At 37.6% G+C, this 22,105-nt stretch overlaps 2 long non-coding RNA genes across 4 annotated transcripts in view; one reads left to right on the top strand and one right to left on the bottom strand.

Annotated features, from left to right (window-relative positions):
* Positions 1-3,865, bottom strand: part of LOC105373693 (uncharacterized) — a 106,969-nt gene extending 103,104 nt beyond the window's left edge. For both annotated transcript variants that reach the window (XR_001739741.2, XR_923484.3), the window contains exons 1-2: positions 3,780-3,865; positions 3,226-3,344 (exon numbers count right to left, since the gene is read on the bottom strand). This is a non-coding gene — a long non-coding RNA (uncharacterized LOC105373693). The remainder of the gene's footprint in view (positions 1-3,225; positions 3,345-3,779) is intronic.
* On the top strand, positions 1,378-20,642 carry LOC105373694 (uncharacterized). Of its 2 annotated transcripts, XR_923486.4 has the most exons (4): positions 1,378-1,492; positions 14,355-14,466; positions 18,622-18,740; positions 19,276-20,642. It is a non-coding gene; the product is annotated as an uncharacterized LOC105373694 (long non-coding RNA). The 2 variants fall into 2 exon arrangements; XR_923485.4 differs by lacking the exon at positions 19,276-20,642 and having other exon boundaries at positions 18,643-18,688.
* Positions 20,643-22,105: the final 1,463 nt, after the last annotated feature.

Genomic DNA, 22,105 nt, shown 5'->3' with positions numbered 1-22,105 from the left:
ATTAATTTTAAAGAACTCAATTGTTTGAGCGCCAATTTTCTGTATTTACATCCCATTCACTCTTTCTTTGTAGCAGAAAGGAGGAGGGGTAAAGGAAAACAACTGACAAGATACTAGCATGCATAAGCCTCCCTTTTTTAGTCAGTGTAGGACAGTATGTCTGGCTTATGTGTTCAATAGAATTGGGTGTCTATAGGTAGGAATATAGGCCAAATCTGAAGGAATGATTCCCTGGAGACTGTGGAAGTTCATGTCCCAGATAGGAAGGTATGTCAAGAAGTTGGAGCAAACATCTACCTAGTCCTGCATGGAAATCAACACTGTTCCAGCGTTTTGACTACTGGTGCAGAGAGAGTGGGGGAAGGTGGGCGGGGAAGGCAAGGTGAGGAGGGCAGCCCTTGGCATGGTAGTGCCATTCTCATTTAGGTCACCACAATAGTGAAATTTCTCCAACAGGAAAAATAATCCAACAGGGAGTCAGAGCAGAATGGGAAGAAGCTACAGTGGTACAGAAGCCAACATAAATAGCTGAAGGTACACAAGAGGTATCACTTTGGTAATGGCCTAGAAACAACTGGGGAGTTCCTAGTTGTGCCCTGGAACTTCTGAGGGGCTGTCAAGTCAGCAGATTTCTGGGATAAAAGAGTAATTAAATTACCAAAATAAACCAGTAAAAACAAAGATATTTAAGAGCTCACATTTCATAGGCAGTGCATAGATCATTGATTTTCTGCTAGCACTACTATTTCTCAGATATCTATGTCTGGTTGAGTCATCAAGATGTTCTCCATGGAACTGTGGGCAGAGTACATTAGGCTGTAATAGGACTGCACTTACACACAAAACTCATGAGGCAACTTCTAGTATCGCATAAGTTTTTAACCGTGACCAAACGACTGGTGGCTAATCACCAGTCTGTCACTTCAATTTATTGGTTTATCCATTTGTTGAGTACCACTATAAACACAAACTCAGTGACATCCTGTACCCAAAATAAAAGATCTATTTTTAGATGAAAGGGGTGAGACATTTCATTGATGAGAAGTTTCCTGAAGACTAAAACATAGAACCAATACTATTTCCATATAAACTTTTCTCTCAAAATGAACATGGGTAAATTATTTATGATGAACCCAGGAGTTATGTCTCCATCAAATCCAAAGCAAGTGTTCATTCATCAAATACTTGCTGGGTGTCTACTTGGTGCCCAGCACTATAATGCACTGGGGAAATATTTGTGAGCCAAGGAACACAGTTAATGCTCTGACAGAAATTATAGTTTAATGGGTAGTTGAACATTAATGAAGTAACCACAGTAACAAATGTGAATTACTAGTGAAGAAAAGTTCCCTGAAAGAAAAGGATCCGAGTTTGTTCACTGATGGAGAGGGGCACTTAGAGCAAGATACCCGACCTTGACTGGGGACCAAGCACGAAATCCCTAAGAGGTGACAGGAAGAGAGAAGTCTGAAACGTTAAGTGAGTTAACCAGGTAAGATTAATTCAACATTAACTCAAGCCAAGATGACTAAATAACACATTATAACCTCTGTAATTTGAAAATAAAAATCCATGGCAAGAGAGGCAGCTCAGCTTTCAGCCAGTTTGATCTTTACAATCACATAAAAGGTGCAAGGCCATAATCACAAGGATAGGGAGAAGTAAAATGTTTTTAAAGTGGCAGACGCAATCTTACAAATTTTGCTTACAGTCCTATCTTTTATATTAAATGCACGTTTTCCCCCTGTTGTGAAGTCTGTTGGGTTTAGAGTCTCAGCCTGATACTCAATGCATACAGCACTAGTCTGGCTCATACACCTGCAGCGCCCCAAAGATCGCGAGCCCTATTATTTATCATCTGTGTTGCCATTACGTGTAGTGACAGATAATTCCCAATAAGTATATAGTACAATCTGAAGTATTCTTAGCCTCAAAATTTCATTAGTGTATTTAAAAAGCCAACTGTCAAGAAGTAGAAAGAGCAACGTAAAAATAAAAATACAGACTTGACCTTGGGGATTTAACATACATGAGGCTTTTGTCTTCACCTGTTATTAAGTTTCTGTGACCCTGAGAAGTCACTTATTCACAGTTTACTAAACATTACTATCAAATATAACAAGAGGGGGTTATTTAGTCCTTCTTCCATTGTTTTTTGTTTGTTTGTTTTTTTGACAAGGTTTCACTAGCCGTCCAGGTGATAGTGATATAAATAAAAATCAGGGCCAAGTTCCCTGCTGTTTCCCATTTTAGGGTTAATAGGAAGTTTTATTTTCCCCTCTAGTATTGTGATTTATCTTGAAAAAAAGTTTTCGGCTCACTGTAGCATCTATTTCCTGGGCTCAAGCGATCCTCCCACCTCAGCCTCCTGAGTAGCTGGGACTACAGGCACATGCCACCACCCCTGGCTAACTTTTGTATTTTTTGTAGAGATGGAGTTTCGCAGTGTTGCCCAGGCAGGTCTCAATCTCCTGGGCTCAAGTGATCCACCAGCCTCAGCCTCCCAAAGTGTTGAGATTACAGGTGTGAGCCACTGCACATGGCCTTCCTCTAGCTTTTAAGGGTAGAACAACACAACCTTAAATGCACCAATGCAAGAAAGCCTTATTTGCTCTGTTCTAATTTTACAGTTTTTGAAAAAATAATATAGTACTTCCTTCTTGGTTTCATGAAATCTTATTCCGCAACCATATCAGAAAGTGAAGTTACTATTTATTTTGTACCAATTTGAGGAAAAATAAGATCATAGGTATAATTATAAACAATTTGAGTTCTACAAGAATGTAATAATCGTCATCATTTTTGGGCACTCATATTCCAGACTTTGTTATTAGTAAACATGATTTATCTAATTTAACCTTCAAAATAATTTTATGCAGTAGGTATTATTACGATCTCCATTTTACAGAGGAAAACACTGAGGCCTGAAGAGACTAAGTAACTTCTCAAGGTGGTCCAGTTAGTAAGAGTTAGAATGGGATTTTCACCTTCAGTGTGTGCTCTGAATTTCCTCCTACCTATGCACAAAGCATGTAACTCTTTATCGATAGCTGCATTTTTAAAAAGGTGATTCAGCATGCTGAGTTGGAAGGTAAATTCTTAGTGTACTCTTTTTCTCTCTTTATAAACTCAAATATTTTCAGTAGCAAACTTCCCAGGTATCATTCGTTAATGCCCTCCCCTCGCTAGGAATCATGAAGTACTTCAGGTAACAAGTCAACCCACCTGCTTTCTAGGTTGCTTCTCTAGCCCCACCATCTTGTACAGAATCTCCAAGCAGATATTCACTTCTTGCTTAGACCCAGACATGTTTCACTTTCTCTCCAAAAATTCAATATAGCATCCTGCAGAGACGAATAAATTCATAAACTAGAAAGAAATTAGTAGTGCCATCGTTATCAGCACTTTGTGAGAAAACCATAGAGAATTTCTAGGGAGGCATAAAAATAGCCCAAAGTCCACACCCCCTTTCCTGCTTTTTAAACAAACTTCCTCAAGGGCATTTGAAATCATAGTTTCAGCTTGCTATGGGAAGTATTAATAAACTTGAGAATGTTCTGAGAGTGAGAATGCATTTTCTTTTTAGTTTTGTCTTTCAAAGACTGCATTTCATGCTCTTGTGTAACTTTGGAAATAACAAAACTTGGTTTCTGTGTCTGCAAATTCAAACCCAAAATTGTTTAAAGGATAGAGCATGTGTTAGTCTGCTATCAGGCTGCTAGGAAAAACATACTCGAGACTGGGTAATTTATAAAGGAAAGGAGGTTTAATTGACTCACAGTTCCACATGTCTGGGGAGGCCTCACAATCATGGCAGAAGGCGAATGAGAAGCAAAGTCCTATCTTACATGGCAGCAGGCAAGAGAGTTTGTGCAGGGGAACTCCCCTTTATAAAACCATCAGATCTTGTGAGACTTGTTCTCTATCACGAGAACAGCATGGGAAAGACCCGCCCCCATGATTCAATTACCTCCCACTGGGTCTCTCCCACAACAGGTGGGAATTATGGAAGCTATAATTCAAGATGAGATTTCGGTGGGAACATAGCAAACCATATCAGAGCATAAGAAGATAATTTTTAAATTTGACCTTAAACAGTTCATTCCTTGGTAGCTAAAGTATGCAGATTCCATAATGACAAAATAATGAACCAAATCGTTTCAGGTGATATGAAACTAGAGATGAAAGTAACCATTCAGCTAATTTAGGCAAAACTGGAGGAGGAGTATTCTGATAGTACTAACTCAGTAACACAAACCGGTGAAAAGTATTTCAAAAACCAATTTGTAAAATGTGCTTCTCATCCTCATTCACTAACTTCTTAGGTAAGCCTATTATGTGCCTAGATGCTGCTAATACATGGCACAGTCCTTGGATTTTCTCTGTACTCAGATATCTACAAGGGTATTGGTGCTTAGTGTGGGTTTTCAGAGTAGAATAATAAAGAATGTGCATCTGGCTTGTTAGTTCATTTTCTTGCTATTTATGTTACTTCAAACAAGGTAATTAACCTGTCTGAGCCTCATCTGCCCATCTGTAATATAAGGGCAAATAGCACCCATTTTGAGTGTTGTTATCAAGCATTAAATAAGGTAATGTACATTACACAGGGGAGAAGCCCTCTTGTCTCCTTGTATTTCTTTGTATTCTCTGCAGTGCCTTAAACACAATAACTTTCTATTTTGTCCCTGAGATAATCAGATCATCAACTGTCATTTCTTTCTTTCTATTTTTTTTTTTTGAGACAGAGTCTCGTTCTGTTGCCCAGGCTGGAGTGCAGTGGCATGATCCTGGGTCACTGCAACTTCCACCTCCCAAGCTGCTGGGACTACAGGAGTGGCCCACCATGCCCAGCTAATTTTTGTATTTTTAGTAGAGACGGGGTTTCACCATATTGGCCAGGCTGGTCTCAAACCCCTGACCTCGTGATCCACCTGCCTCTGCCTCCCAAAGCAATAGGATTACAGGTGTGAGCCACCACGCCCAGCCCTCAACTGTCATTTCTAATAACTCACTGCCAGTGTTGTTCTCAGAGCAGTAATTTCATCATTGGCACAGTTCCTGTTTATATAATATTAAAACCAGCATCGTCAAAAAATAATTATAATTTATAAGGTTCACAGACATAATTTTATGGTTTTATGGCCTTCTATCCAAGGTGCTGTGCAAAGCAGTTAATTTGAGAGTGTTTCATCGTTGACATCTTCTCTTCTGAATTCACTGGCCTGTGGATAACCTTGAAGGGCTCAGCTCACCTTCCGTTGCCCCTATAGAGGCCTAACCTGATCAGTTCACTAAGGGCCTTGATTTTAACTTGCTCTAGTTGCACTTTGATAGGGTACTTCTGAACCATTGGACCGAAAGGGATTCATCAATTAATTAAACAAATATTTGTGAAGCGCCTGCCATGTACAGGAGCTGTGTTAAATGTGAAAACCTTGTGCATGACACAGACTGTTAGAATTTCCTTCTTCTTTTTTTTTTTTTTTTTGTATTAAAGCCCAATTGCCATTCAGTACCAATCAAATCACAGCAAATGAGTCCAATTCTATATCCTTAAGGATGGTTTCTTTTATAAAGATTAAATTAACAATGAATTAATCCCAAAGGACTAAAAGAAAGAGAAAATTTTAAGTTCCTCCACTTTTTGGGAGCTGAGATTTAAAGCAGTAGGCAGAGACTGGAGGTGATAATCACTCTTTTCACTGCTGCACTCTGGAAGCAGAGACATATTTGAATATGAGTCACCCTCCTCAGCAAGCTTTAGTTAAAGGATAATTACATGTGTTGTCCTAGAATAGAACAAAGAGAATTAATGTAGCAGTTTTTTTTCTATCTAAATCTAATGTGCTAGTATGGACATGTACACAGATCTTTTTAGAAAACAGCCCAGAAGTTCTCAATCAACTTTATATGGAGATTACATGAACATGAACATGTTTACTTCCAATTTGATGAAGGAAAAGTACACTGGGTTAGAGGAATAAGGTAAATGAAAATCAGTGCCAAGTTCCCTGCTGTTGCCCAGTTTAGGGTTAATAGGAAGTTTCATTTCCCCCTCTAGTATTGTGATTTATCTTGGGAGAAAAAAAGTTTTAAAATCACATTTCATGCTGTATGTTCTAGAAGGTCATACTGTCTGTTAAGCATGTTGTCATTCCTTAACAAATGCTGTAGAAACTTCTTATAGGTGTATAGCAGAGGTTTAAAAAAATTTTCTTGACCTTTTCATTGTTAGTTCAGGGAAGAGTAAGAAATAAAAATGGGTAAAATGTCCTTTTGAGAGCTAAAGAAAGAGACGTTCTTTTTCTACTTACTAACTGTCCCAGTGAAATCTCCCTGAAGATTGTACCTTCAAAAAGAGTTTTTGTCTTCCTTCTACTCTAATCAATATTGAAGAATGGAGATTTCAACATTCACTGTTTGCAGCACTCAATATTACTTGGAAATTATTCTTCATAATTCAGCTTCTAGAGATTACCTTGTTTTCTTTTTTATTCACATTACCATCTCTTCTACTTCTACTTTATGAAAATTATCTCAATATAACATAAATCGGTAAAATTATCTTGGATTTTTAATTGTCACTGATTCTTCATCATACCCTCTGTCTTCTGTCTATCTCTCTTCCTTCCCATTGTATCTCCATGCCTGATGTGTTATATGTAAAACAGGCACTATTTGTTGAATAGACTGATGAATTTCATTTCCACAGGAATCACCTCCCACCTCCAAGACAAAGGAACTAAAGATCCTATCAGTGACATTTACTTCTTATGAATTATGTTAAAATACATGCTGCGTGTGGTTGAAATTATTAACCCAAATAATAGAAATACTATGAGTACAATATTTAATGATAGAATTGGCATAATTTTTAGATCTGGCATGGAATAATTGCCAAGAGTACTGTCTTTAGAATCACCTGGTTTGGGTTGAAGTTCTGACTCAATCATTAATTACGTAGGTGATTTGTGTAATTTAATTAAAATTTTATGTGCTTTTCTTTTATCATGTATGCTAAGTGCTTCATAGAGTTTAGCAGTTTAAATGAAATTATCCATGTAAAGGGCTTTGGAACAGCATCTGATCCATAGGAAGCTGTTATCTACGTTATGTCTTGCCCATCTTATGTTCTTATTTGCACAGAGGAATTAGTGTTTACTGTGAATACTGACAGAGCAGGTCCAACCTAAATTAATCAGCTCAAATAACCCTGTATCCCCTTGGATCTAAGTGCCCCTGCCTCAATCCTTTTTCACCTCTTGCATTTCCCATGCATTTAGAAATGGCATAAAGAGTAAATATACAGAGAAGGAAGAAATGCAAATTGAAGAGGAGAGGAATGGCTACTGCTCTACCCAAGTTGGAAAGCCAGATTTATATGCCCTAAGAGATGTTAATACACCCACCTTCTCTCAACCTTACTGTTTTTCTGTTTTCCTTATTTAAGGGGTTCCAGTCCCTATATTGAGACTAATTGCTTTGAACAAATAAATTCCCCTCTCTGGAACTCCTGTTTCCTCTTGTAAAAAAGTAAGAGGGTAGATGAAATTAGCTCAGTGGTTCATCTCAGCTCTAAAGTTGCTTTTATGTCTTCCCTCTCACACTTTCCTCAGAATGGAATACTTTGACACAATTTTTAACAGGGTCAAATTTATTAAGTCAAACTTTTGGGGTTTTTTTTGATAATTGTAAGCTAGCACAGTAAATATTTTCTGTTAATTTATAAGCAGTAAATAGCACATACTTAATTGCTCATAAGTAAATATACTTCACAAATGGAAGCAAAATCATTCTTTTAATCATCTGCATCATCTTTACTGATTTCATTAGAATTGAAAAGCATTGCTTGCAGGGAATTTTACATTAAACGATATTGCTGTTTACTTGGGGCGGGGGGGCGGTTGGGAATGAGATGTTTAAAGTCAACATAGGGTGAATCGTTAGCTGCACCTTTGTGAGGACTTTGTGACCTCAAGCAGTCTTCCCACCTCAGCCTTCCAAAATGTTGGGAGTACAGGCAGAAGCCACCAAGCCCAGCCATCTTCTGCATTTCAGTAACTGTTTTCTAATTATCAGAAATCTCCTGTGGCAGGAATGAAGTTATATTATTGGAAATATGCAAAATGCTTTAGGATAGGAGTTTAGAACCATATATTCTAAAAATTTCAGTCCTGATTATACTGAACCCTTAGTTTCAGGTATGTGAGCATCTGTGCAGAAAATGAAGGCTGTCTTGAAAATGACATATACATAAAGGCTTATTGTGTTTTCAGCTATGAATTAGAAAGCAAGTGTCTCAGCATTTCCAGGCATCTCATTATTTTCTTAGTTTCAAGAAGATTCCAAATGACCTTTAGAAACATTTTGAAAAATATTCCTTGATGCAAACTTTAGAGAAAAAAAATAATGCCTTGAGCAATCAGACATAGCATGCTATTGTTTGCCAGCCATTAATATACCCTATGGATCTGCAGCAGGAAGCAGAAGCCTACAGGATGTATTTTCCAAACATTTGCGGGGTGAAAACTGCCCCACCCCTATGGGTATACTGTATTTGTGCAACTGCCTTGGAAAACATTCCCTGATGTGGCTCTAGTGATTAGTGCTTCACTTTTTCAGCATTTCTTTCTTTTAACTGTTAGTTGCTTAACCTTTTAGAGCTGTACTACGCATTCTGATTGCTAATTTTTCCCATACTAGTTTATTCATTCATTAATTGCCCACCCATTAAGTACAATGTTTTCAGGTTGGTTGGAGAACAAAAAGAGCAATTAGCAAGGCACGAATCCTGTACTTAAAAATAAATCATTAGGATACAGTCTTTTTTTAGAAAAATGGGTTTGCAGTTGGCTCTGTTAGGAAGTTTGATCTGGTCTCCCATTACCTGTCACATATAAAGTGGCAACTTGGAATTTTAGGAAGAGTTTCCCAAATTCAATCAATCTTGAAATCGTTATAGAATATTCCAAGTATTCTAAGCTTGTAACCACCTGAGAGGTTATTCCTACTTCTGCATAAAGAAAGACCATGGCACTGTAGTAGAGAAAGAGTTTAATAGACGAGGATGGCCATGCCACATGTAAGAGAAGGAGTTTGTACTCAAATCATCACCTTCAAAGCTCCTGGGTTAGAGGTTTTTCAAGGGCAGTTTGTGGGGAAGGGTGCGAGTGGCCAGGTAACAGGTGCTTGCTGCTGATATGTTGGGGCAGAGATGAAATCACAGGGGGTTGAAACTGTTCTCCTGCAAGTGGAATTGCTTCTAGGTGGGGCCACAGGAGTGGGGGTTTGGCGGGGGGTGTTGTGGGTCCAGGTGGAGCCCTGGGAGTCAGACATACAAAAAACCTGAAAAGATATCTCAAAAGGCCAATCTACAATAGTGGTGCTATTTGCAGGAGTAATTGAGGAAGTTGCATATTTTATAACCTCTAAAATAATAGCTGACCTTATCAGGACTAAGGCTCCTCTCCTCCCTTCAGCCTGGTGGCCTCCTATTGGTTTTACAAAAGTGGCTGAGTTGTTGGCAAAGCCTACTATCATTTAAATTGTAGCTTAAATGTCTGCCAAAGTTGGCTTGGCCCAATAGCCCGGGAATAATTAAGGAAAAGGCAAGATGGGGGTTGGGTTAGCTTAGTTTACTGTTATAGTTTTCTCACTGATACAGCTTTTGCAAAGGCAGTTTCAAACTCATGAGATAAAATGTACTCATTAAGAAGACACAGATCCTCAGAAATTAATTGCTAAAAGAAATTACCAAAAAAGGGGAAATAGTCAAAATCTGATTTTTTTGCCAAAACAGAAAACAAAATTAACTGTAGCGTTATACCTGAAAAATAAGGAGTGTTCACGAGTAAGTTTTTAAAAGATATTTGAAAAGTAAGATAAAGCAAAAGTCTTTCATTTTATAGTTTGTTATAAAATATGAATTTTAGAAACAATATCTTGAACTAGAAGAATGTTTTGCCCTCCTTTAAAGTAACTGTACATTGGACACATATTAGAAATATTATTGCTGAGTTCTATTCTCATTTCAAGTGCAACATCCTCCTTATTCCAAACTTTCACTATAGAGTGACATACATACCATTTTTATGATATGATAATAAAGAAAGAGAAATAAGGAACCATGCAATTTTCAGGTTTTCCGAAAGCCTTTAATTAGATAGCTCCTAAAAGAATTATTTCTTCAGCAATAATTTTATATCGATTTTTTTAGAAACTGAAATATACCATTGTGTGTGTGTGTGTGTGGTGTGTGTGTGTTTCTTTCTTTTTTTTTTTTTTTACAAATGCACAGCTTTTTATTATGGACATTTGCAAATATATGTAGAAGTAGAGAGACTAATCAAATAAACTCCCATGTGCCCTTAACCAAGTTTCAATAATGATCAACTTTCTGTCCTAAATGTTTTATCAATCCTCATAATACATTATGTTTTTCTGGAGTATTTTAAAGCAAATTCTAGATATCACATAGCTTTCCCTATAAATACTTCAAGTAATATATATAACAGATAAGGAAATTTTATATATATTATGACAATATAATTAAGAAAAATTTTATAGCAATATCTGATACATCTTTTTACAGTTGGTTTATCAAGACTGTGGTCCAAACAAGGTCTACCCACATATGGCATTTGGCTGATATGTCTCTTATATCACTTTTAATGATATAATTGTTCATTCTCATTCTCTCTCACTCATACACTCTCTCCTATTTATATGTTTACAAAAGTGGGCCATTTGTCCTGTAAAAATTTCAACACATTCTGAATTGGATAGGTTATGTCCCTTTGGTATTGTTTAACATGTTTCTCTCTCTTATTGTGTTTCTGAATTTTCTGTAAATAGGTAGCTAACGAACATTCAATTAAGCATCTCGCTGCATTCTACAAAGAGATACATTGTATCTGATTGTTTAACTTTAGAATTATAAAGATTCATCAATAGTAACAGTAATAGAAATCTTTAATGTCATTCAACTCTTACAGAGTTTCAAATATTCACCTAAGGGATTTAGCATTTCAAATATTCACCTAAAGGATTTAGCATTTGTTGATGTAATTGTCTAGAGACATTATTTGATTCGTGTATTAGTCCATTCTGACACTGTTATAAAGAACTACTGTAGACTGAGTGATTTACTTTAAAAAAAAATAAAGAGAATTAATTGACTCACAGTTCCACAGGCTTAATAGGAAGCATGACTGGAGGCCTCAGGATACTTACAGTCACAGCAGATGGTGAAGTGGGAGCATGCACATCTTCACAATGGCAAAGCAGGAGAGAGAGAGAGAGAGAGAGAGAGAGAGAGAGAGAAGGAGGAAGTGCCAAGCTGTTAAACGATCAGATCTCGTGAGAACTAATTCATCTGTCGTGAGAATAAGGGGGAAATCTGTCCCCATGGTTCAATCACTTCCTACCAGTCCCCTCCCCTGATATGTGGGGATCACAATTTGACATGAGATTTGGGTGGGGACTCAAATCCAAACCATATCATTCTAGCCTGGGCCCCTCGAAAATCTCATGTCCTCCTCACATTTCAAAACCAATCATGCCTTCCCAACAGTCCCCCAAAGTCTTAACTCATTCTAGCATTAACTCAAAAGTCCAAGTCCAAAGGCTCATCTGAGACAAGGCAAGTCCCTCTGCCTATGAGGCTATAAAGTCAAAAACAACTTAGATACTTAGAGGTAACTAACTTGGGGAAACAGGCATTAAATAAATGCTCCCATTCCAAAAGGGAGAAATTGGCCAAAACAAAGGGGCTACAGGCTCCATGGAAGTACAAAACCAGGCAGGCCAGACATTAAATCTTAAAGCTGCAAAATCTCCTTTGACTCCACATCTCACATCCAGGCCACGCTGATATAAAGGGTAGACTCTCAAGTTCTTAGGCAGGTGCAAGCTGTCAGTAGATCTACCCTTCTGGGGTTTGGAGGACGGTGGCTCTCTTCTCACAGCTTCACCAGGCAGTGTCCCAGTGAGGACTCTGTGGACTCTGTGTGTGGGCTCCAATCCCACATTTCCCTTCTGCTTTTCCCTATTAGAGGTTCTCCATGAGGGCTCCGCCCATGCAGCAGAGGAAATGCCTGGACATACAGGCATTTCCATACATCCTCTGAAATCTAGCCAGAGGTTCCCAAAACTCAGTTCTTGCTTTCTGCAAACCTGAAGCTCCAACACCACATGGAAGCTGCCAAGGCTTGGGGCTTGCTCCCTCTGAAGCCATGGTCTGAGCTGTATCTTTGCCCCTTTTAGCCATGGCTAGAGCTGAAGTGGCTGGGATGCAGGTGCCATGTCCTGAGGCTGCATACAGCAGAGGGCCCTGAGACCCAGTACACAAAACCACTTTTATTCTCCTAGGTATCTCGGACTATAATGGGTGAAAATCTCTGAAATACCCTGGAGATATTTTCCCCATTGTTTTGGCTATTGACCTTCAGCTGCTCATTACTTATGCAAGTTTCTGTAGCTGGATTGAATTTCTACCTAGAAAATTGGCTTTTCTTTTCCACCACATAGCTGAGCTGCAAATTTTCCAAACTTTTATGCTCCGCTTCCCTTTTAAATATAAGTTCCAGTTTCACATAATCTCTTTGTTCATACATATAAGCATACAATTTTAGAAACAGCCAGGTCACTTCTTGAGTTCTTTGCTGTTTAGAAATGTCTTTCGCCAGATACCCTAAATCATTTATCTCAAGTACAAAGTTCCACCGATCTCTACGTCAGGGGAAAAATGCTGCCAGTCTCTTTGCTAAAGCATAGAGGGAGTGACCTTTACTCTAGTTCCCAATAAGTTCGTCATCTCCATCTGAGACCACCTCAGCCTGGACTTCACTATCCATATCACTATCAGCAATTTGGTCATTCAACAAGTCTCTAGGAAGTTCCAAACTTTCACTCATCTTTCTGTCTTCTTCTCAGCCCTCCAAACTGTCCCAATCACTGCCTGTTACCCAGTTCCAAAGTTTCTTTCACATTTTCAGGTATCTTTATAGCAGTGCCCCACTCCCAGTACCAATTTTCTGTATTAGTCTGTTCTCACACTGCTGTTAAGAACTATCTGAGACTGGATAATTTATAAAGAACAGAAATTTAATTGACTCACAGTTCCACATGACTGGGGAGGCCTCAGGAAACTTATATAATCATGGCAGAAGATGAAGGTGAAGCAAGGCACATTTCACCATGGTAGAGCAGGTGAGAGAGAGAAACAGCAAAGGGGAAAGTGCCACAGTTTTAAACCATTAGATCTCATTAGAACTCACTATCACTAAAACAGCAAGGGGAAATCTGCCCCCATGATCCAATCACCTCCCACTAGTCTCCTCCCCAGACATATGAGGGTTATAATTAAACATGAAATTTGGGTGGGGACACAAATCCAAACTATATCAATTAGATATTGCAAAAAAGTGGCCTTCTAGTTTTAGCATTCTCCTGCATTTACTTGCTTTGATTTGATTCTTCCATGAAGATCTTTCTTCATCAACAGTTTTGTGACTCTGAAACTTGATTGAAGAAAGGCTAAATAAATGCTTGGTTCTTTCTCATTTTTTTTATTTTTTGATTTTTAAAATAATTAGTTTGTACCTTAGTAAACCCCTAAGGAGACCTATAATTTGTGCTCTGTTTTGTTTGTCTGTTTTATTTTCCTTGTGTTTTAGGCACCCATAGATGTTAACATAGTTTATGGTTTCAGTCCATGGCAGTCATTATTACTGGTGATTCTCAAGCTCTCCCGTATTTGATCAGTGGCTTGTAGTGCCCCCTTTTTTTAGATGGATTTCTTGCTTTCAAATACAACAGGATATTTCATCTTGCACATTTTCTACTCCAGACTCTGGATTAGCCATTTGTCCAAGGAGTCCTGGTTCTTTACACTGAAAGGTTACATTTAGAGATGACAGTCTGGGCATAAGGGCTGCTCCTTGCTTCTAGGACTTGTTAAATCAAGTTTAGCCTAAATCTGCCTCCTTACATATTTTAAGTTCTGCCTAAAATTTCTCTGTACATTGTAAACTATAACAGGTGGAGGTGTAAACAGACCATAAGCTACACTTGTGCAAATAACCAAGTTTTGGTTAATCAAAGGCAGCCAACTGTTTGAACCGTGTTCAAATAAGGCAAACACATAGCTGTAACTAATCCGGCTGTTTCTCTACCTCACTTCTATTTTCTTTATGTTACTTTCCTTTTCTGTCCATAAATCTTTTTTCATCACGTGGCTGTGCTGGGGTCTCAGAGCCTGTTTTGGCTCAGGAGGCTGCCCAATTTATGAATTGTCCATGCTCAAGTGAACTCCTTTAATTTTAATTCAGCTGAAGTTTTTCTTTTGTCAGATGGTGTCAGAAGTGGAATCCAAAGAAGAGCTAACAACCCCCAGGAGCGCTGAGCGTGGTTCCCACTCGGCCCATTGTGCCCATTGCTCTCTTGGAGCAGCTGGGGATCGTGGTAAGTTCTCTCTCATATTCTGAAGCTCCACGGATTTGTGTTTTGAGACCTCTGAGTTTCTTTGAGCAAATTTCTGATTCAAACTGGGTTTAGGAGTCATGACAGAAACTAGAGTGGGTCCAGGATTGGATTGGATCCAGTAATTAACTGGCTTGGATCCAACTAGAGGCCTCTTACATCTGTCTGGGTTAGAAAAAAACTGATAATAAATGCCAATATTGCAGGGGGTATAAATTTTGGCTTTTGGGAATTCACCGGAATTTTTGTGTCCTATTCATTTGTTTCACTTGTCTTATGTACTTAGATAGGAAAAAATCACTGGCTAAGTTGATCCAGGAAACTTGAGAGTAAAGCCAATATTTGAGCTAAAAATGAGGTCCTTAATTTCTGAAGAACTAAGCAGCAAACTCTTACAGAAATGGTGAAATCTTACTAAAGATAACTTACAGTGGAATGTTCCAAATGAACAACACTGCACAGACATGCATTTAAAAATGAGGGCTCCCAAATTAGTCTCATCTAGGGATGCCTATTGATATGCAGAAACATCTAAGAAAATTTCAATATTTTTATTTAAAGACTTTACAAAACGCAAATAAAAAGCATAAATGACTAATTGATTAAAAACATTAAATCTGCTAACCTTTTAGCTTAGTTACTATCCTGATTCAAGGATATAGACGGCAGCACCAATTGGCTGACTTTGAATAACTAATGGGGTACATTTTACCTGGGTAAAGGATGGGATTGGGTTAGATACCCTTCCCCGAGAAAAGTCCCTCTTGGTTAAAAATTGATTTGGCACTATGGCATGTTAACTGCTATTCTCTTTGGATTAATCTGCCTTGCACTCTTTGCTGATGGTTGTGGGTGACAGGATTAGGTATGCATGGGATCACAGGACATGAGGAGTTTTTTCTCCTCAAAGGGAGAAACTTGAGAGCCAATGGGACTCCTGGAAAAGATCCCTTTGCAACTGACAAGCGGCTGCCTGAACTTCTGATTCCGTGTTGTTGCAAAGGGTGGGTCTTTCTCTGGCCTCCCTGAGCTCTTCCTCTTCCCCAGCCTGCTGCAGGCAATGCTTTTCTCCCTTCCCTTTCCTCTGTGCAAAGTGATTGTAGGACTAGTAAAAATTACTATCTCTTACAAAGTTTTAATTAATGAGAAAAAGGATTTGTGAGGCTAGTCTGAAGCTGTAGCAAATCTGGTGTACTTTACGCTATGACCTGGTCTTTCTACATCCTTCTGTCATGAAAAGGTGTACCACAGGGTGGAATGCAGGCCTAGGCTCCATAATCTGGCTGCTCAAGACAGCTCAGCAAGCTGGCCGGTAACAAAACAGACAAACAAAACTGGATGAGGTTTCCATCCTGTTTTGTTTTATGTCTTTGGGGGCTTGACCTTGTAACCACGTGACGGTAATTTCTCTTGGTCTCTAACATCCAGGAAACAGGAATTTGGGGGCTCATGCCATAGATAGCTCTAAAAATTATCTAGATCAGTTAAAAGCCATTGCAAGCTCAAAATTGACTGCTCTATGCTCCTTATGGGAAGAGCAATGGAAACCACCCCATGCTTCATCTCAGAAGCTAAGGCTTTGCCATTTTACAATGGCAGCCCAGGTTCAATCTTGGCTTAGGGTATAAGTGCTTTCTGGGTGATATCTGTGTGACTTTTTCCATTTCTTGATACTCTTCCCCTCCATATACAACTTCTGGCTTCCCTTCTTGAATTTTCCTTTCTTTTGAGCATCTGGGAGGTTACCTTTAGTAAAGTTCAACAGCCAGAAATATTAGCCATTTGGCCTGGCTAAAGTTGGATAATTAGAGATTTAAAATATTTTTTAAAGAGTGTTATGGTTAAAAGCCAGCTTAATTAAAAGTGAACTTTCAAGTTTTAACAGCCTGGATTCCTTGGGAAAAACAGAGGAAACGCCATAGAGCCTGTTTTGGGAAAAACTTCTGTTTTCCTTGTGAAACCCAAGGAATTGAAAGCAGATAGATCCCTCTCGAAATCTAAGGCAAATACACATTTAGGGATGACAAATGGCAGTTATGGGGAAATACTCATTTCTTTGCACGTTTCGATCAGAGAAGCATGCTCTTGGTCACCTAGAAAATATGGAAATGTCTCCACCCCTCACTGTGATAAGACTTCTGTGGGGATGGGTTAATCACAGAATGGGCTGATCAGCTTTGAGTTGCTTTGCAATGAAATGCAGGGTGAAATCATTGCACTGTCTTGTTCCATAGCCTTTCTCTTTTGGGGCCAGGATCCAGTATAAAAATGCTACCCTGAATTTCAAGGGTACAGTTTTGCCTTACAGCTGTGCCTGCTTATTAGGCCCTAGAAACTGCATGTTTTCCTAGCCCTGTTCCTCTGAAGACTACCCTGAAGCCAGTAACTGGATTAAGAAATTTAAAAACTGACCAATAAAAAATCTTACAACTATTGGATCTCCTTTTGTCTTTCTGTGTATTCATATGTGTTATATGTATAAAGTTTAGATATGAAAGAGCTCTTATTAATTGGCTTGAAAGTAATAAGCACTTAAATATATTGTCAGAAAAATAAAAACTGTAATGCCTTTTAGTTCACGTGACTTTAGTAAGCTTTGAGAAATAAAGAATTTTAAAGATTATTGGTAAAATAAAGACACTTGGTCTAAATTAGGCAGGTCAAATATTAGGTTTACTAAATGCTTTAAGGTAATAAGCTGCTTCTTTGACTTTGGAAAAATTTTCAACTTAACTGCTTTGGAGCTATTAGATTCTAGGTAAGGCCTAGAGACATGTAGAGTTAGCCAATCCCCTTGGTTATGCTGGAAAGAGTCAGACTTTATCTGCACTTTTGTCTGGTGTCTTAGGCTCCACACCTAATAGATAATTAAAATCACTTACTAGGTTTTTCACCAAAAATAAAAATTGCTAAGAGTTAACATTGTAACATATAATTGAGACCACCGAAAAAAACAGTTTTACATGCAAGGTGTGTGAGGAAAGCAAAATGTGCTTTTAGTGAAAGACTATAAGGCACGGGAATATACATTTTTGCCTAGTTTAGAGGGTTAAAGGATTGTTTTAAATTAGGATAAAGCTGAAGGTTTAAGCAAGTTGAGGAAGATTTTTGAAAAAATAATCTTGTAAAAAAATTCTGTGTGTGAACATATTGGCTAAATTTAAAGGGTATTGTTAAGTTTTCCCAGGAATTGAATGTTGGAATAACAGCATAACAGGGTTTTCTTAGAGCACTGATCCGCTCTTAAACAAAGATCTGTAAAGGATTATAAAGGGTTTGTGAGACTCTCACCTATGGCCAAACTGATTAATATTAAATTGATTTGTCTATAAGGTTTTATTATTAGAAATTCCATACAATTTTGGAACATATATTAATATCATTGACTAAAATATAACCTGAAGAAGATTAAGCATTATTTTTTATTTTGACAATGCTTCCATGTAACTTAACATGCCAAATAATCCTGTTTATCTCTCTTTTGGATGCTTCAGGGGCCCTCTGTATTGTACCAAAGTTAGAGGTCAGAAAAGACCACTTTAAAGTTGAAATTTGATTTTGGGAAGCCTATCAAATACGTTAAAGGTTTAAAACACTTGACATTATAAAATAGAATTCCACGTCACAATAAGTCATTCATTTAGCCAAAATGATAACTCAAAAGTTTTACACAGGCAAAAACATTTACTCATTGATAGACGGAAGACTTAGCTTTCCAAACAATCTATCTCTTGTCTTTTCCTTCTATTTCATGAGTTTATTCAAGAGGCAAACAAAAATCTTTCATTATCCTTTAATATTACATGAAAATCTTGATCAAGATAGAAAGCCACATTTCACCTTTGCATAAGTTTATATATGTGTATTATATAGTTTCAAAATAAAATTATTTACATTTTAATTAAAATAAAAACAGATCTGATTTTTCTTTTTTATATTTCAGAATATGTACTTCCAAATTTTTTTTAATATCCCAAACTGAGGAATATGTACGTCCACCTTTTGAATCAAAGCATTGTGTTTTTTAAGGTCATTTGAAAGAACAGTTCTATGTCTGTTTATTTCATCAATTTTACATATTTTATTTATTTATTTATTTATTTATTTATTTATTTATTTATTTATTTTTTGAGACAGAGTTTCGCTCTTGTTTCCCAGGCTAGAGTACAATGGCACAATCACGGGTCACCGCAACCTCCACCCCCTGGGCTCAAGTGATTCCCCTGCCTCAGCCTCCTGAGTAGCTGGGATTACAGGTATGTGCCACCACACCTGGCTAATTTTGTATTTTTAGTAGAGATAGGGTTTCTCCATGTTGGTCAGGCTGGTCTTGAACTCCCGACCTCAGGTAATCCGCCTGCCTTGGCTTCCCAAAGTGCTAGGATTACATGCATTAGCCACCACGCCTGGCAAATTTTGCATATTTTATATACTATAGAAACTGCTTAGATATGAATTTATACTATATTCTTTGAATATACTATATATGTGTGTATATATACATGTGTTTTTATATGTATATACATACACACACTTTTTATATACTGTTCCATTATAACAGAATACTTTGGCTTTTTTGCTTTTAATTTGGGTTATTAATTCATGAAACATATTTACGTGATTTGAAAGTCAAAACTATGAACTAAAATACTTTCAGAGTTTCAAAGTCTGCATTTTCTCTTTCTTATTATTCTCTGTCTACAGAGTAACTATTTTCACTAACTTTTAGATTATCTTTCACTTTTTCTTTTTAAAACAGCATACAATAAAAATTCTTCTTGAATCTTTTAGAATTTGATCAGAGAAGCTGAACCACTACAAGCAATGTTAAGAATTTATTGCTGGAATACCCCTTACACAATTGAGAGAGCCAGTTAAGCTATGTGAGCCTGCTACCCCTAGAACTGGAGCTGGGCTTGAAGTCTGTAAGACTAGGAAGGAATGAGGAGGGCAGGACCAAAGTGGAACCTGTGAAGGTAAACTTGGCATCCATATCTGTTTCTCAGCTGAACTGGCAGTGGTATCTCAGCACCTCCAAGCCTCCAACTTTGATGATGTTCTGCAAAAGAGCTTGAACAAATTGCCAAAACATCAGCCCCTGACATGAGCAGCTTTCAGAAAAACTGAAGGAGGAGATCCAGGGGCAGTTTGAGAAGCTGCCAACCAAGCTGCTGCACTATGCAGATCCACCACAATGTCATAAACTGTGTGAGCAGCAACAGTGCGTGACCCCACACAGGTCTGAGTGTAATTCTGGCTGCTGGATTCCAGTTAGACTTTAAATTCCATGCAAATTTCACTTGTGGCAAATCTTAACTTAGAACTGAACATGGAAGAGAATACTGAGAAACTTAGATCCAACTAACCTGACAGTTTACAAAGCCACCACAGTCTATCTTTTGTGAAGTCATCGTCCAATATATATCCCTCTTTTAATTATACTAAACTCCCAAATAAATGCAATGGCAAAATCATGAGTCTACCTAATAGGATTCAACCATACTCTGTATAACCAAAACTCACTCCCCTTTCCCAAAAGAGGATTCAGAGTCTTTTTTGGCTGATATTTATTCCTCTTCTTACTGAACCATGCTTTCTCAAATGCTTAGATATAATGCTTGCTACTATGAAAACATGTTAGATGGTAGAGGTACGGGAGGGAGAATGAAAAAAAATGACATGTATAAGAAAGAAAGAAAATGAGTTACATATGTGTATACACACATGTATGTATTTATATTCATATCAAAATAAGGAAGAAATATTAATGATTATCATTTCCTTTCTGCAACTTGAAAAATTGTCATAGCTGATACTTATAATGACCATTTTCCAATATACCTTTTATATCCCCTATGACCTGGGTAAGCACCTTGATGGGTGATGCTTCCTTGCTTTGTAGGGTGACCTAAATCTTTATTTTTGAAGGTGTAGTCATTAGAACTGCGGCCTCTATTGAGTCATTCTAGTTTCCACTGACTTTAACGACTGGACATGGGAGTTCTAAGCAATACCCTATGAAATTTCCTGAATTCAGGAATACTCTTCCTTATCCCCAATGTGTAGTAGTAACCCAATTTTTCATTGATATTCACTCAATTTTTCATTGATATTCGAGATCAATCTAGCAAATACAATAAATCTCATTTTTGCCTGTCGCTTTCTGTTTGATTTATTACTGTATGTCCCAGAAGATGCATTTCTCCCTTTGTAATCTAAGACCTCTATACCAGCAGAAGCTAGTGTTACAGACAGAGGAAGCAACTACACATCGGTGGGGTTATAGGGAGATTGGCCACTATCATTTCCAGTCCTTGATTCTCAGATTCATAAGTCCTGAATACGGGAGAAACAGTACCCATAGTCACTCATTCAGAGTATATACTGCATCCTGAAGAATATACACCCCACCCACAAGGTGTGGCCAACCAACTGGCTCCATAACTGAGTCTTCAAAAGACTAATTTGCTCTTCCCACAGGCCAGATACATCAGGGTAATAAGGAACATGGTAAGACCAATGAATGTCATAAACCTGAACCCACTGCAACATTTTCTACAAAGTGAGTTGCTTTGTCAGAAGTGATGCCATGTGAGACATTGCGAAGGAGAATAAAGCATGTTGTAAATGCAAGGATGGTGATATTGGAAGAATTGTGAAAAAGCAATTCCACATACAGAATTAGTGTCTATTCCAGTGAAAATAAAGTGCGCTCTTCACATGATGAATGTGATCTAAAATAATTGACATGGTGGCTGGCAGAAGCTCAATCACTATTTATAATCTAGCCTTGAAAGTAGCATTTATCACCAGTGTATTAGTTGAAACAGTCAAAAAGTCTCCCAAGTTTCAAAGGGAGGGGTCATATACTCCACTTATTGAAGGGGAAGTAACTGGGTTCTGAAGAACATGTGGAATGTTGGATGAAAAAAAGTTACACAACTCTTGGAAAATGCAATCTGCCATTCTGCTACTTGATGTTTTTACCTAGTAATATGTCTTGGAGATTACTATAGAGTCATATAATGACATATCTTTCTCATTATTTTTACAGCTGGATATTATTCTATTGTGGGATTATATCATAGCTCAATCAACCTGCTCTTTAATGAAGGTCATTTGAATTATTATACAAAGCAATTTTGCGTTACAAAATTATTTATTATACAAATAATGCTGTAATAAGTAGACTTGTTCATAAATTGCTCCTTTTTATTTTTATTTTTTGTATCTTCAGGGTAAAAATATGCATTTTAAATATTCTATTTTTGCTTTTGTGATTCAGATACAGTTTAAATAATGAAATATTACGTTCTTTCCTTGAGATGAGCCCCTTTTCTTCACAGATTCTTAGATGAATGCATGTGAAATGTAAATTAACATACAATAAAAATCAAACATCTCAGATATATTTCAAAATTATAATACACATTACACAAGAAAGAAGCAATCATTAAATAGACAACTGTATTAGAATGTTCATTCTGCAGTATTGTGTGGTCTGTACCCTGATGAGAACAAATTAATCCTTCTAGCCGCTCAAACAAATGTACAAAAAAAAGAAAGTCTTGAAAAACACCATTGATTTGTGAGATGCCAGCATGAAATTTTTATGATTACG

This window comes from Homo sapiens, chromosome 2 (genome assembly GCF_000001405.40).
Source record: "Homo sapiens chromosome 2, GRCh38.p14 Primary Assembly".
In the NCBI taxonomy this organism is placed as follows: Eukaryota; Metazoa; Chordata; class Mammalia; order Primates; family Hominidae; genus Homo; species Homo sapiens.
This window is presented reverse-complemented; position numbering and strand designations above follow the sequence as displayed.